General features: G+C 44.7%; 1 protein-coding gene across 8 annotated transcripts in view, besides 2 other annotated features; it reads right to left on the bottom strand.

Moving 5' to 3' along the window:
• Positions 1 to 16,355, bottom strand: part of CDH13 (cadherin 13) — a 1,173,672-nt gene that overhangs the window by 1,150,983 nt on the left and 6,334 nt on the right. For 3 of the 8 annotated variants that reach the window (NM_001220488.2, XM_017022848.3, XM_017022849.3), the window contains exon 2: positions 10,193 to 10,298. The exons of the other annotated variants lie outside the window; for them this stretch is intronic. In NM_001220488.2, the coding sequence (NP_001207417.1) occupies positions 10,193 to 10,298 (106 nt within the window). The remainder of the gene's footprint in view (positions 1 to 10,192; positions 10,299 to 16,355) is intronic. 8 annotated transcript variants of the gene reach the window in all.
• Positions 4,511 to 5,118: an enhancer, noted in NCBI's record as "OCT4-NANOG-H3K27ac-H3K4me1 hESC enhancer chr16:82678145-82678752 (GRCh37/hg19 assembly coordinates)". NCBI's record gives its function as "activates a minimal SCP1, AML or CMV promoter by ChIP-STARR-seq in naive H9 embryonic stem cells {active_cell/tissue: H9 hESC(naive)}" and the evidence as "EXISTENCE:reporter gene assay evidence [ECO:0000049][PMID:30033119]".
• Positions 5,119 to 5,727: an enhancer, noted in NCBI's record as "OCT4-NANOG-H3K27ac-H3K4me1 hESC enhancer chr16:82677536-82678144 (GRCh37/hg19 assembly coordinates)". NCBI's record gives its function as "activates a minimal SCP1, AML or CMV promoter by ChIP-STARR-seq in naive and primed H9 embryonic stem cells {active_cell/tissue: H9 hESC(naive and primed)}" and the evidence as "EXISTENCE:reporter gene assay evidence [ECO:0000049][PMID:30033119]".

Below are 16,355 nucleotides of genomic sequence, written 5' to 3'. Positions count from 1 at the left end.
GATCTCTTCCTTAGGTTCAGATCTGGTTTTAAGCTCATACATGCCATGCTCTGACTAGCCATTTCACAGGTTCCCCAACATGTCCTGGCCCTTCAGTCCCCCATGCTGCTTAAGCCCACTTTCCATTATTTAACTGGAAGGACCTTCTCAAAGAGGACCAGTGACTGGTTCTTTTTGTTGAATCTAGTGCTTTCTCTGTTCCCTTCCTTCTTCACTGCCTAAGACTATCTGCCACTTCCTTCTTGAAATGCCCTATTTTCCACTATAACATTACAATTCACCAGATTCCTTCCCCTTCATATAGTTATCAATGTATCCATCCATCATCCATCCATCCATCCTCCATCTATGCATTCATCCTTCCATCCATCATCTATCCTTCTATCTAGCCAGTTCATTTCACAATAATCTGAGTTTGGACCCTGTGTGACCTTGGATAAGTGGCTTTATTTCTCTAATCTTCTATTATGTCATTTGTAAAATAGGAATATTAAAAGCATAGCATATAGGATTGCTGTTAGGTTTAAACAAGCAACAAATGTAAAGAAAGCCGGTGCGCGCTCACTCTCTAACTATATTTATATTAGTTCCATTGCTTATTTTCTTCCATTCAAAATGCTTTAAAATGTTGGAATCATTTCTGGCACTTTTCTCTTTCTTCCCCATCATCTCATTCATGATCAACCATCTAAAATTGGCTCTTTCTTTTCCATACTCCCAGTAACTCATACAAGCTTTCAAGCTGGACTTCTCACCTTGGGTGTTTCCTGATTCAATCCATCTTCCACACTGCCCCCAGATTAATTTTTCTGAAATACATTTTCCATTATGTTATTCCCTTCTTTAAAACTTTCACTGGGTCTTACCACCTATTTTTTAGAAGGTTTTTTCTTCTTGTACTTTTTCAAGTTTCTTGTATTTTTCATTATAGATGTAACGCAAGTGTATCAATGGAGACTTGTAAACCAGAGGGGAAAAAACAACTCTGAATCCCAACGCATGAACAAAATTGCAGTTAGGATTTTGATAAATTCCTTTCAGATTCCACCCTTCTTTTTCTTTATTTAGAGGCTTGTTTTGCTTTGTAGGAATCCTACTGCACACACAATCTCCTGTTTAGTATTCAATTCTCATTCATATGATTTTTCCATGCCATTATCATCATCTTTATAACCATCCTCTTTAATGGTTATGTAATATTCTATTGAGCTGCCTAACCTGTTTTCATTTGCTGGAAATCTAACCTATTTGCAGAGCATTTAGGAGAGTCAGGCATGTGGCAACTACTTCCTAAGCGTTGGCTATTATTACTATTTCACATACAATGCATAAAACATATACAATATTCATATATCATTTAATATAATGTATTTTGTACATATTTTCCTGTATTTACCTCTGTTTAACTTCTCAGATGTGTATTACTTCCCCAAAGTGCATGACTATTTTTATGCCTTTGGATACTGTATTAGTCCATTTTCAAACTGCTATGATGAAATACCCAAGACTGGGTAATTTATAAAGAAAAAGAGTTTTAATGGACACACAGTTCCACATGGCTGAGGAGGCCTCACAATCACAGTGGAAGACGAAGGAGGAGTAAAGGCATGTCTCACATGGCAGCAGGCAAGAGAGCATGTGCAGGGGAACTGCCCCTTATGAAACCCTCAGATCTCGTGAGACTTATTCACTACCATGAAAACGGCACAGGGAAAACCTGCCCCTAAGCTTCAGTTACCCCCGACAGGGTCCCTCCCATGACACATGGGGACTATGGGAGCTATAATTCAAGATGAGATTTGGGCAGGGACACAGCCAAACCATATCAGATACTTACCACATTAGACACTGACAGACAGCTCACCACCCAACCCCAAGCTCCTGTCTCTTCTGGCTTTTCCATTACAGGGCTGGCTCAACTTCCAACTGCAAATATCTACACCTCTTCACTGACTGCTTTCTCTGAGGCTGGAGTAGTCCAGTAGTCTCAAAATCAGTGCCCCCTGGGGCAGCTTTGAATCAATGCCAACCAGATTTGTGGCATAAAATCTGGAGCTCCCATGCCCCTCAGGTGGGATGGCTTGGAAGCAGGTATTCCACACTGATTCTCAAAGGTTCCCAGGGGAGTTAAGCTCCAGACACCCAGAGCAGTACCTGCCTGAGTAACAGACCCCTCGTCTGTTTCCTTTTCCTTCCTTGCCTCACTTTCCCACTCCTCTACACTTCCCCTTGGACCACCTCCCAAGAGAATTTATTGCACTCAAATCCTCCTCACAGCATCCGCTTTTGAGGAAACTCAAACTGAGACTGTGACACTTACAGCCAAGTCACTCACAACCATGGTCTGTTAAGTCCTATCTGTCCATTTCCTCATGTACGTAAACACATCCAGCTTCTATTTTCTGAGGCCATATTATTTGCTGGACCAAGTGTTTACAAGGTTCTCTGGAATCCCCATCCCAGTCATATCAGCTAGGTTTCACTGCCGACATTTCATAGATCTGGTAACTGAGGCACAGAGGTTAAGCAACTTGCCCATGGTCACACAGCCCTACAGTGGCAGAGCTGGGCTTCAAACTGTAACCTTCCCTCGAGGCCTGGGCTCTTAACTGTCATGGTGTACTGCGAGGCACTGCACTACAGCAATAGTAAAGTCCTTTGGCTAAAATAACACTGATGCTATTAACAACTGTCATCTTTCTAACTCTGATCCAATCTCACGTTGCCTTCACATTCATAGTCACCCATAACAGCCTCTTCATTACCCCCTGAACGTGCTGTGAGTATATCTGCTTCAGATCTGGACTCAGGCTTCCCTCGAGCTTATAACATCATCCTTCCTCTCTCTGGCTTAATTGCAATTCTCCCTCTATCATCTTGATCATTACTTTCTCCTTCCTTTGCCCATGCCTGCTACTGACATACCTAACTCTTCCTCTGACTCAGTTTTCTCATCTGTAGATGGGGATGATGACAAGATGCACCTCATAGGTTTGAATGAAAGCATCGCTCACAACCCACACTTCATAGAAGACAGGTAAGAAATGGCTTCTAACCATATTACAACCTTGGCCTCCTGTGACCTCTCCTCCCATCACTTCCCATTTCTTTGACCCACTTTTCACAGACCATGCAGCACCAGTAAATTAAAAGTCATGTGCTTAGGCCAGGCGCGGTGACTCATGTCTGTAATCCTAGCACTTTGGGAGGTCGAGGCGAGCAGATCACTTGAGGTCAGGAGTTTGAAATCAGCCTGGCCAACATGGTCAAACCCCATCTCAATGAAAAATACAAAAAAAAATTAGCTGGGCCTGATGGCAGGCACCTGCAATCCTGGCTACTTGGGAGGCTGAGGCACGAGAATCGCTTGAACTCTGGAGATGGAGGTTGCAGTGAGCCGAGATCACGCCACTGCACTTCAGCCTGGGTGAAAGAGCGAGACTCCGTCTCAAAATACTAACAATAATGTGTTTAAAGCACCAGAAAAATTATTCAAAGCTTGCAAACAAGGCCCAAATGGTTGATGGCACATCCTTTGGTTATCAGTCAGGGACAACCTGAAGTTGTTTAGGAGCATGCTCTTAGTTCATCTCATTGTTTGCTCTTGAAGATCCCAGACTTTGTGAAGTCACCACTTAAGTGGTCAACTTTTGTCCAGTAGAGATGCAAATACTTTTTATCTAATAGAACAGATAACCCCCAAAAGTTTAGGCATGATGAACATTAACCACTTTTTATCTAACTCAGCAATCTCGTCTTCACATTTCTTTGCTAAATTCCTTACGAATACCTTAGCTTCTTAAATGCCCTTTGGAATAACCATGGCATCTTACTGGTTTCTTCATAAATTAATGAGTTGAAGTGCGTATTTACCCAAGAGTCTTGGTTTTACCTTTTGAAAAATTATACATGAATAGCGGCTTGCTGTGAGGTATCTTTTCACAGCCCCAGCTTCAGATTCCAGCCTCCTAGTAATAACAGGATAAGATAAGGATAAAAATCCCTGTGTGTGCTGGGTGAGTATGAAGCTATGCATTTGGATCAGAGTTTTCCACCTCAGCACTACTGTATTTGGGTCAGGATAACCTTTTGTGGTGGGAGCTGTGCTGTTCATTGTAGGATGTTGAACAGCATCCCTGAGCTCTGCCCACTAGATGCCCACTCCCCTCCCCAGGTTGTGAAAAACAAGCATGTCTGTAGATATTGCAAACTGTCCCGAGGGTCACAACCCCCCTCACCCCAACAGTTGAGAGCCAACGGTTTAGACTACACTTCAGAAACAAGCACCACGGATAGACGTCAGAAGGATCAGCAAATATTCACAGTGACACCAGAAGAATTATTCTGGATGGAGTTGAAAACCCAGTGGAATCTGGAAACACAGATTTCTGAGCCTGCCCCCAGAGGCTTTCATTCTCTAGGTCCAGAGGACAGGATTTGCAGTCCTAACAGGCTCCCAGTTGGTCCTGGAGCTGGGTGAAGGGCCCCGTCGAAGCCCGTACTCTGAGATATGGCATCCTAGGAGCTTGTTTTCAGAAGTGTGATCTGTGAGTTAGTGCCCGAGACCCACTGTGTACAAGAGTTTCCTTAACCTCAGGGGTTTGGGAAGAGCCCTCTGAAACTGAAACACACTACAATCTCAGAGACTTTCATTTGTGAAAAAACAAAACCCAATCTGGTCCACTTCTCTAACTCCAGAGTTTTCCAAAATATTAGTTTATACAAGTAATTTTTTGATTCCCCTAATTTTTTTTCCCCAGAACCCATATTAACCTCCCATGGAACCAGTATCTCTTCAGAACACATTTTGCAAAACGCTATGCTGGAAAACTGACCAGGGAGGACTGAATCAGACACTTACGTGGCTTTGCGTGATCTCCTGTTGCTACCTGGAAAGGCTTTAAGAATCAGAGGGAGCCCAGCGGACTCCTGTCACCTGGGAGCTGGCTACCTGGGAGCCTGGGTCCCAGCCAGAGCCAGTTCAAGTCCTGACTTCTGCCCCAGCCCAAAGCGTGGTTGCTTTTACAGACTGGAGACCTATGAAGACACGTACAGCCCCTCAGCTTTGCCTCCATAAAGCCTCCCCTTCCAGCACCCAAACTCGTGCACTGGGCCTGGTCTGGGGACCAGCTCTAGGCTGCTTTCCTTGTTTCACTGTGCATGGCTAATGGCTTTGTCACTCAGCATTTTCAACATGACAAAGGATAGAAATCATCAACCCACGAGTGAGGGCAGACAGGAGTACGTTCCATGGTTAAGGGACCTGAGAATCAAAGGAACTCCGTAGGGGGGTGATGGAGAGCACAGAGGGAGACGCAGAAGGCAGGGGTGGGAGGAGTTCGGGGGGCCTTGATTTGCAGAGTGATGAGCACTGAATGTAAGAAGTGGGAGCTCCTTTCCCAGCCTTAGACCTTAGATTGACTTCTCATTACTAGGCTATTGAATTCTTCAGCCGCACCAGCCAAAGGGTGCCAAACATTCATGTTAATTTGGGTAAATCCTAAATCCTTCAGCAATCTGCTATCAACTTGAGTACAATGACAATTAGCATATCAATTAGATTTCTCTCCTCTTTCTCCCCACCCGACCTCCATACCACCCCCCATCCTAAACCACTTACTACTTTTAAAAGTCAGCCAAGCCTGTAATGCCAGCTACTCCTGGAGGATCACTTGAAGCCAGGAGTTCGAGACCAGCATGGGCAACATAACAAGACCTTGTCTTAAAGTTTTTTTTTTTTTTAATTAACTGGGCCTGGTGGTCCACACCTGTAGTCCCACTTAGCTATTTCCAGAACTGAGGCAAGAGGGTTGCTTGAGCTCAGGTGGTCAAGGCTGCAGTTAGCTATGATTGCACCACTGCAATCCAGCCTGGGCAACAGAGAAAGACCCTGTCTTAAAAAAAGTCAGTAACACTAAACCATCTCCTTTTCTTCAGTCTCTGAGAGCTTTGCAGCCAGAACTCTACACCAGGGTAGGCTACTATGAGAATAATAACCAGTGAGGCAAAAGATGGTTCTTAATTCACTTTACAAATCAGCAAAACAAACGTGAAGAACCCTTGCTTTATTTCCAATAGGCCAAGGTGACCTGCAGTTCCAAATAACACAGGTTGCTTTTAATGAATGAAACACATGTAAGAACCAGTGTAGCCAGAAGGAATTAGACCCAAACAGCCTGGGTCTTAATCCTGAAACTACCACTTGCCAGCCCCAAGTTTCTCAACATCGTTCTGCTTCCGCTTTCTGATCTCAGTAGGGTGGACAATGGGGATCTTTTGAGGAGTCGCAGTGTTAATATAAGTAAAGCAAGTAGAGTATCACCAGCAGGTGGTGAACAACTGTAAGACAGGTGGTGTGTGCTCATGAACAAACAGGAGCCCTGAGGCTGACCTGCCCAAGGTTTGCTTGTTTTCCTATTCAATACCAGTTTTATTTAGACATGTGTAACATACTATAAAGCTTAGCCGGTTAAGATATATGATTCCCAGGTTTGGGGTTTATTTACAGAGAGCTAATGTAATCACCACCACTATCTAGCTCCAGAGCATTTACATCTTCCCCAAAGCAATTCTATACCCATTAGCAGTAACTCCCCATTTCCTCCTGCCCCCAGCCCTAGACATCTTCTAATCTGCTTTCTGTCTCTGGATTTGACTTTTCTGGACAGTTTGTTCCATTTCATAGAATCATACAACATGTGGTCTTGTGTGTCTGGAATTGTCTTGAGTTTGAATCTCAGCCCTAGAGTCCTAAAGCTTTATTAGGTTCTTTTACTAAGTTCTCCTGAAGTTTCCCCACCTATGAAATGGGATTAAAACCATAGAAGATATTTTATAGAGTCACTATGAGGATTACATGTGCTGATTAATGCATCTGAAGCACTCACACCAGGCCTGGTTCAAAATCAGCACCACACTGATATCAGCTACTATTACTGCCACTTCTACTATTATTATTCCTCAATTCCCCCACCCCAAAGCATCTGACTGGTAGTGGGAATCCAAAGATAAACAGAACACAACAGAGAAAACAGGTCTTGCCTTACGTAATGCACAGTCTGGTGGAGATTGTATGATTAGGAATGTGGCTTAAATGAATATAGTCAAGTCTCATCATATGCACATTTAACTAATGGAAAGCCAGCTCTCCCACCAAAGAGAGAGAGAAAAAGAACAATGTAAATACTGCAATTAAATGCTATAAAATTATATCTTGCATATATTCTTTATTATGCCCTGTACATTACTGCGTGCATTATACATTGTTCCCTATTGATTACAATACGGGGATGCATAGACTAAACCACGCCTACTGTACTTTAATGGGCAACTTAAAAGAGTTCAAGGCTAATGACAACTGTGTTTGCCTAAAACCCTGACCTTATAGTCTAACCTCTGAGTTAAATGCAACTCTATTGTGTGTCAACAACAATAGTAATTCAGAAATATTCCAGACAAATTAAATCAGCCAACAAGCAGTCCAATGAGTTAGGTGTTAGGCTGCAGTGGGCCCCGACTAGTGAACACACATTTGCCAAGCACCACTTTTTTTTTTTTTTTTTTTTTGCCCTCCATGAGCTGTTAGTTTCATTTCAAAAATAAACCGCATAGGGGTGTCATAAGGAGTTGGTGAATGGAAGAACTGGGTTTGGGAAGCAGATGAAAATAATCTCTCACCCTACAGCCAACAGCGAAGGCAAGCGCCATGACCTCTGCCTGTCGCTATCTACCCCCTCGCCTGCTTTCTCATTCTTCATGGCACTCATCACCCTCCTGCAGACATCACATACCTACCTGTTCATTTTTTTATTGTCTCTCTCCCAGCCAGTACATAAGCTCACCAGAGCAGGGACTTGGCCTGTCTTACTCATTTCTGTATTCCCAGTGCCTAGAAAAGTGTTGAGCACTCAGTCAGTGCTGAGTAATATTTGTTGATAAATGACTGAATGCGTGAATGAGGGTAACTGTTTAGACAGCCTCCACTTTTCTCCCATCTCCTGTCCCTAAAACATCCATAGTTGATTCCTTTGACCTCAACTGGCTTATTCATTCATTGTTGAAAAGTAATGAGAATATATCACATGTCAAAGACGAGGCCCTAAGGTAGCATTCTAGGGCTTTGGCATACTGGTACCATCTAGTGGGAAAGAGAATATCTGCAGGAGGGTGCTTAACCAAATTCAGAAGGTTTTAAAAATTACCACTACCATAATTCTTTCTGTTACCATTAGCTCTACTGAGGAAGTTTCCAGTAACATGTAATGGTGGCAAGAGAAATCACATATATTCATACCCTACCCAGGGCATATCCTGACAGTCCAACAACTTGCCATACCTTTCCATTTTTTCTGCTATGATGCTTCCAAAGTCATGACTGCTCCCCATGACAGCAAAGGCTCAGCAGGGAAGCACAGAGAAGTTAATGACGGCAGGGGTCACCCCTGACCAGCAGAAGATAAGGGCGAGTGAATACACCCTCAGCCACCTATTCTGTGGAGGGACCATTCGGAAATGAGCTTTACACAGTGCTTTTGTAGAGACCCAGCAGCAAGAAGCCAGTTTCCCATGACTGTGACCACCTCAATGACACATTCACTGTTGGCTTGCTGGCTTTCCTTCTTCTTGGTCTCACTCTCCCCACTCGCTCACTTATGGACCTTGAGATCATTTACCAACTTAACCCCCTGAACCCAATTCTGTGTCTCTATTTATTTAGAGGAATTCAATCCAAGAGCGTGTTTAACCCCAAGATACTTTTGGGTAGCAAAAGTGCCTTAAAAATTGTAGTCCAGATAAATATTACAAAGCTAAATTATTCCTATGTTAGATCTACTCTGAGAATTATGTTCCATAGTTGACTATTAGCATCTTTACCTTGATAAAAGTTAATGCAAATAATCTAGTGATATGTGACCCTAAAGAAGTACCATGATTTTCATGGCAACTGAGGCCAAAGAGAATGCCTGGTTCCCCTCGCTGGCCTCTGCCCTATCCCTGTCTTAAACAAGTTTGACCAACTGGTAAGGCAGCTACTGGTTTAGATTAGTGGTTGGCAAATGGCAGCCTGAAGGACCAATCTAGCTCTGCTTGTGTTTGTAAATAACATTTTATTACCCTGCCCATTCATTTACATATCGGCTGTGGCTGCTTTAATGCTACACGGATAGAATTGAACAGTTTCAAGAGAAACCAGCTATTTACTAGATGGCTCATTACAGAAAAAGGATACCTACCCCTGGTTTAAATCATTAGTTGCCATATTCGTAAATTCCCAACAGTAAAATTTCAACACAAACAAAAAGTAGAGAGTTGACAAAAGTTGACCAACAACACTTTATCAGTGAAGACAAAAATGCCATGTATGTATTACTAACTTCCTTTCACAAACGGTAGCACATTTCATCTCTATGCTATAGAAAGGCCATTCCATCAGAACAAAGAATCCTCTGTCCCAAGAGGGTGTGGTGGACAAGCTCAGAACAACACTGTCTATCACTCTACCCCATTTGAACGTTTTTCTATAGCACTATCACTACGCAAAACTACCATATTTATTTATTTTTCTTGTTTCCTGTCTTTCTCTGCTATCAGAACACAAACTCCACGGGGGCAGGCAATCTTGTCTTTCTTAATCACTGCTGCCTCCCTCAATGCTGAGAATTGTGCTTGAGATATTGTCTTCCCCCAGTAAATATTTGTTAAGTGAATGAGTTAACCAAATAGGGAATGCACAGATAGGCACGGCCACCAGGTGGCGGGACGGTGCACACAGTGGTGAGGACCCTGTCAAGGGAGAGAGTGTCTGTCCACCAGAACAGGATTGGAGGGCAAAGGCCATGCTCTCGCTGCTCTGTGGCTAGTACGGAAAATGGAGCTGGGTACATAATAAGCACTCAACACATGTTTGCTCAATCAATGGCAACCCTCACTAAAGCACTTAAATTAACAGGAAAAAACACTAGTCTGGTAAGACAAAAATAAACTTCAAGTTACATTCAATCCAATTGCCACACAATATAGATCCAGGTGTCTCTATATAGCTACAGACTGTATATTTCTTGTTTTCTTTTTGTTTGGGGAAAGAATTACAAAGAGTAGCTTGCAGGAAGCACTGACTTAGGCAACAGGGTTTCTTAGCATCCCTAGGGAAGAATTCCATCCAGCCACACGACACAGCAGCAGGCAAATTTACCTGCATGGTTGAAGCTGCAGGTGGGTCACGCCCAGGCATCTGTGGGCCATTCTCACTGGGATGTTCTTGCTGGGGGAACCATGCAGTGCAGGTGGGTTGTTTGGCCCTGGTCAAAAGCAAGGACATGGAGACAAAGAACACAAATGACCCCGGGCTGACCCTGTTCTGAAGGTTGCAATCAGTAGCCCAGACAGGAAGTCCAGGGCCCAGACCCACTTTGAGAGACTAGGAACTCAAAAAAGTAGTCATCCCAGGCAGCTATCTTGACTTTAAGGGAGGTAGAGAACAAAATAGACAAAGGAAAGAATTTTTATATAATGAGGGGAGTGGGAAAGGCAACTTTTATATACTAGTGCAACATAGAGGAAAATAAATATGCACAGGAATAAAGACGCATGGGTCCAAACCCTGGTCCCAGTTCTCAGTGACTGTGTGGCCTTGAGCAAATGACTCCACCACTCAAAACTTCTTCTCATCGTATATAAAATTGGGAATAAGAGTCGCCTCTAAGGGTTGCAGGAAGGATTCCAGATAACATGGGTAACTAGTGCATAGCAACTACAGTGAATTGTGGTTACATGGAGGTACTTTAAACAAGTACTCATGGCACTGGTGCGTGCATGCACACAAACGCACACACGCACACACTGCCCTAATAAAGCCTCCCAGGAACAGATGATGGGCAGACACATTAAGAAGATGAGATCCCACCAGATCAAATGATTTTATGAGGCATGAATCCCGAGGGGAACAATCTTGGGGGACCTACTAATATGGGAATTGGCAAATCCTCCCTGGGGAGCAAACTTTATTTTTTTTAATGTCCACGCATTATGACATGCACAGTCATTTCCCCCCTTAAGTGAGTCACATCCTGAAAGCCAAGACCCCATGACACCTTCAGACCATAAAATTCCTTGGAGCATAGGGTGAAAAGTAATACAACCAACATTTCTTAAGCATAGGATGACATCATTAACATACACTTATTTAATTCTCACAAAAATCCTGCAGGGCAAGCATAGATATTCCTTTTCAGTTGTTTTAATACAGGGGAAAACAGAAAAGGAGGGAAATGAAGTCAATTATCTGAGGCAACACAGTGTGTAAATGGCTGGGCAGGGATTCAAGCTCACTTCTAAAGGGCTAGGAGGTCTGCTCAGCAGTCCCTAAGCAGTCCAAGGCACCAGCAGCTCTGGGTCCAGGCCAGCCCCAGGCTCTAATTCTGCTCCAGCACATTTCCTAGTGAAGGCCTGGACTGTCGTGTTCACCTCTGGGTTCCCAGGTTTGCAGCGTTCTTCATAGTTGGTAGGTAACATTTAAGGGAAGAAAGAAAGAAAGACAGCAGAAAGAGGGAGGCAAGGCAGATGAAAGGAAGCAAAGGAGCAAAGGAAGGCACAGCAGCCTCTTCTCCCTTCAATGGATTTCAGCCTCTACTGCTTCCTATTGTAACAATTACCACATTTGTAATTATTTCAAGTACTTACTTGTTTTTATCTGCTGTTCCCACAAAACTGTAAGCTCCATGAGACAGGGATTCAGTTCATCTCGTTTACCTCTGAATTCCCTAAATGCTCAATAAATACTCGCTGAGTGAAGACACGGGCCCCAGGTGGACTCGCCCACGCACAGACCCAGGTGCAAATCCCAGCTCACCACTTATTATTCTGTGATCTTGGGTCAGTTCCTTAAACTCACCAGTTTCTTCATCTGTTGAAAGGGCACGATAGGCCGGGCGCTGTGGCTCACGCCTATAATCCCAGCACTTTGGGAGGCTGAGGCTGGCGGATCACGAGGTCAGGAGATCGAGACCATCCTGGCTAACACGGTGAAAACCCGTCTCTACTAAAAATACAAAAAAAAAAAAATTAGCCGGGCGCTGTGGCGGGCGCCTGTAGCCCCAGCTACTCAGGAGGCTGAGGCAGGAGAACGGCGTGAACCCGGGAGGCGGAGCTTGCAGTGAGCCGAGATCGCGCCACTGCCCTCCAGCCTGGGTGACAGAGCCAGACTCCGTCTCAAAAAAAAAAAAAAAAAAAAGGCACAGTAACTGTACAGACCTCAGCTTCTGAGGATAAAGTACCTAGGTGAGTGCCTGGCATACAGCACTCACTAAATATCTTTGTTGAGAAAAGGAAGAAAAGAAGGGAAAGCAGAAAAACAAGATAGACACGTTCGGAATCAATACTGCCACAGAACGCAATAATCTTTCTTACTGCAAAAACATGCAGAACTGCAGGAAGCAGAGGTACACCCTCTGTTTCTCACACATCAAACTTCATTCAGTGGCTGAATCAAAGTATTTTTACAGGGCCCAATTAGACAGCTGTAGGATCCTGGCCAAAGGTCCTGTTTCCTTGTAAGTGATAATGATTTAGATAATCTGCATGCATCTTTGCAGCAAATTGGACTTCCCTGCATTCTAACATCTTTTTACTCACTTGAACCTCCAAGTAACCTGGTCCATTTTACAGATGAAAACATTCAAGCTGCTTGCTGAAGGTCATACCACGAGTGAGGGGGTGAGCTAGAAACAGGATCCAGGTCCATGGTGTGCTGGAGCCAGTTAGTATCAGGTAGCAAGAGCCCCTTGTTAAGTTTTTAGGAAACTCTCAGGTTGGCAGATTCAAATTGCCCATGACGGGAGTATTTACATCACAGAAATTGGCAAGAGCTACAAATTACTTGGTTGTGTCTTGGTTTGGGTTTTGCTTTCTGGTTTGGGTGTTTCTTTAGAGTGGCCCAGTTGTTAAACATTTACCAATATACCACTGCCTGGCACCCAGTTGAATATTCTCCTACTACACCACAAACAGAAGTCACCAAGGCTACACCCAACATGCTGAAGCAGAGGCTTGTTAGCATTGGCAAAGCGATTGCTGAGGGTAGAAGATCATTATTTGCTTCATGTAAGACATATTTCCAGTGCTGCTGATTGAATGTTCAAGAAACGATTAAAGGGCTTGGCAATGTTTCTCTCAAATATCTTGTGCATGAAAAGTCTCAGAGATTGGTTAATTGTACAGGCTGCACGTCGGTCACTTTATTCAAGGGCATTTCCAGGCCCCCACGGTGCCCATCCTAGATGCAGGCATGGACTGGATCTGCTGGCAATACTGTAATGCAGGCCTTAGGTGCCTCTCCCAGGAACGTTCTGCAGCCTGAATTACACTCCCACATAGAGAAGCCCTCAGACCGACCCTGTTTACAATGTCAAACACCTGGTCTCCTTGTTTGACTCTTCCTGCCAATTGGAAGAGTCAGAACTCAAGCAGGCCTCCTTCACCTCTCTCTGGCCCTGCCATCTCCATACCCAGCCACCATCAAAGCCTGTCAAGTTATCCACCTAAATGTCTCTTGGATTATCTGAATAGGATTTAGTCCATTCTTGCATTGCTATAAAGAACTGCCTGGGACTGGGTAATTTATAAAGACAGGAGGTCTAATTGGCTTGCTTCTGCATGCTGTAGAGGAAGTATGGCTGCAAAGGCCTCAGGAAACTTACAATCGTGGCAGAAGGGGAAGGCGAAGGAGGCACGTCTTCACACAGCAAGCAGGAGAGAGAGGGGGCGCAAAGGGGGAAGTGCTATACACTTTCACATAACCATGTCTTGTGAGAACTCACTATCACGATTAAAGCAAGGAGAAATCCGCCCTCTGATCTAATCACCTCCCACTGGGCTTCACCTCCAACATTAGGGATTACAATATGACATGAGATTTGGGTGGGGACAGAGACCCAAACCATATCAGTCTACTTCAATCACCTGCCCCATCTCTGCACCGTCGTTCCTGAATCCAGCTTCCCATGATCTCAGCCCTAGACTGGCCTTTCCTTTCCATTCTTACCCAGCTCCAACCCATTTGCTACTTGTAGCCAGAATGCAAATCTGATCACATCACTCTGTACCTTTCCCTCAGTACCCTCAATGGCTGCCACTTGCTCTGAGAAAAACACCAATATTCTTGCAGTGGCTGACATGGCCCCATTGGCTCTGGCACCTCCCAGCCACACTTCACATCACTGCCTTGGCTGTGTGGTGTTTCCCCTGAATAGAGGCTTCACCCAGACTGTGCCTTCTTCCTGGAATGCCTTTCCCCACCCACACCCTCTACTGTGTCTTTGTCTGTAAGCCCTACTGCTCCTCCAGATTTGGGCTGAAGCATCAGGTTGTCAGGGAAGCCGCCCAGATCCTTCATCTGCCTCTGATGTCTTTCTTATATTCATTCATTCATTTGTTCATTCATGTTTGCTGAGTACTATGTGCCAGGCACTGTTCTAAGCCCTGGGAGTATAGAAATGAACAAATCAAGCCACAATGTGGACCACAACAGAGCTTATAGTCTAGTGGAGGAGAAAGACAAAGAACACCTAGGCAAAATATTTAGAACGGCATGACCTCACACAGCTGGGCTTTCTTCCCTCATCACAGTTGTCTCCATCTTAAATTATTCATTAATTGCTATTGATCCTTCCTGCCAAGCTGTGAGCCCCAGGAGAGCAGAGACTCAGTCTGCCTTATGAGCAACTGTATCCTGCACACACAAGTGGTGCTTGGAACATAGTAGATCCTCCATAGAGATCATAGATATTTATTGGAACCATTTGGTCTCAGGTGAATCTCCCTGAAGTCAAGTTGCTCAAGTGCTTGGGGCCTAGGAGGAAAAGTCCCCAACGGCTGAACTTCTCAGGCCCCTCTTATTTGAGAAGACGCCCAGAAGCCTCTTTGGCTGTAACTTTAAGTTAGATAAAGAGTCAGGAAACTTTTTCTTTTAGGGACTAAATAGTAAATACTTTCAGCTTCAGGGGCCAGACAGTCTCAACTCTGTTGTTATAGCACAAAAGCAGCCATAAACAATTACATAAATGAATAGGTGTGGCTATAATCCAATAAAACTATTTATAAAACCAGACTGCAGGGAGAAATTGGCTCACGGGCCATAATTTGCAACCCCTGAGTGAGATGATCCCAGATGCCCGACGGCTGATGGCAGTTGAGGAGGGATACTCCGGGCAGTCTGAGTCAGCCTCGGTTCCGCTGGCAGTGTCCAGCAACTTTCCGCAGGCCCTACAGCAATCAGTCCACAGGGAGACAATCACAGAAGCTCAAGCTTCAGGTGTCTGCAGCCACCACCTTCTTCCTGCAGCACACAACACAAGAAAGCGGTTCCCTGACACCTTGAGGGAAAGAGACATTGGCCTGAAGGCCCCGTAAGGCAAGGATGGAAGCTGCCACATTCCTTCCTTCCATTCCCCAGGCTCCTCCAGAGGCTGAGCTCATTTCCGGGCCCTGCCCAGGCATGTGGCAGGGCTGTTGATGGCTGAGCAGCTGCTGCCCTCCGCCCCAGCCCGGGCTGCGTTCAGCTAGGAGACACAGGGTCTTTGTGCCTCTGCAGCAGATCGGGTGATGCTCATTGGTGTCTTTGAAATGAGACATGACAAGTCAAAACGTGCCTGTTGTTAATGTTAGTTTTCTAGAATTTGACTTCTGTTGGCAACTGGCAGAGGAAAAACAATCACTTTTTTTCATATGTGTATATGGAGTTATATTTACTCTGATCTTTGGGGTCTGTAGCTATGGAAAACAAGAATCATCTGAGGCTCACCTGCTGGTATGGGATGAGGCAGACAGATTAGTCTAGTATTTACAGAGCCAGAGAGCATTAATTGTAGCATTAACACTGTATGTAGAACGGCCGTGGGTGTTAACTGTTAAAACAGATATAAAAACATCACACAAGCTCCAGGACGGTGCTAGGATGTGACAGTGTCCTATGGATAAGGGTACTTGGCCAGGCGCAGTGGCTCACGTCTGTTTATCCCAGCACTTGGGGAGGCCGAGGCAGGTGGATCACGAGGTCAGGAGTTCAAGACCAGCCTGGCCAAGACAGTGAAACCCCGTCTCTACTAAAAATAAAAAAGTTAGCCAGGCCTGGTGGCGGGCACCTGTAATCCCAGCTACTTGGGAGGCTGAGGCACAGAATTGCTTAAACCCTGGAGGTGGAGGTTGCAGTGAGCCGACATCGCGCCACCGCACTCCGGCTTGGGTGACAAAGCAAGACTCCGTCTCAAAGAAAAAAAGTAGGTGACAGAGCTGCAGATTCAGCTTTATCCTGAAGTTACAAAGGTGCTGAATATTAGAGCAGTGTTCCCGGAGGCCTTGGC

The sequence above is a fragment of the Homo sapiens genome, chromosome 16, assembly GCF_000001405.40.
Source record: "Homo sapiens chromosome 16, GRCh38.p14 Primary Assembly".
Lineage (NCBI taxonomy): Eukaryota > Metazoa > Chordata > Mammalia > Primates > Hominidae > Homo > Homo sapiens.
The sequence above is the reverse complement of the archived record's forward strand: the minus strand, read 5'-3'. Positions and strand labels throughout refer to the sequence as shown.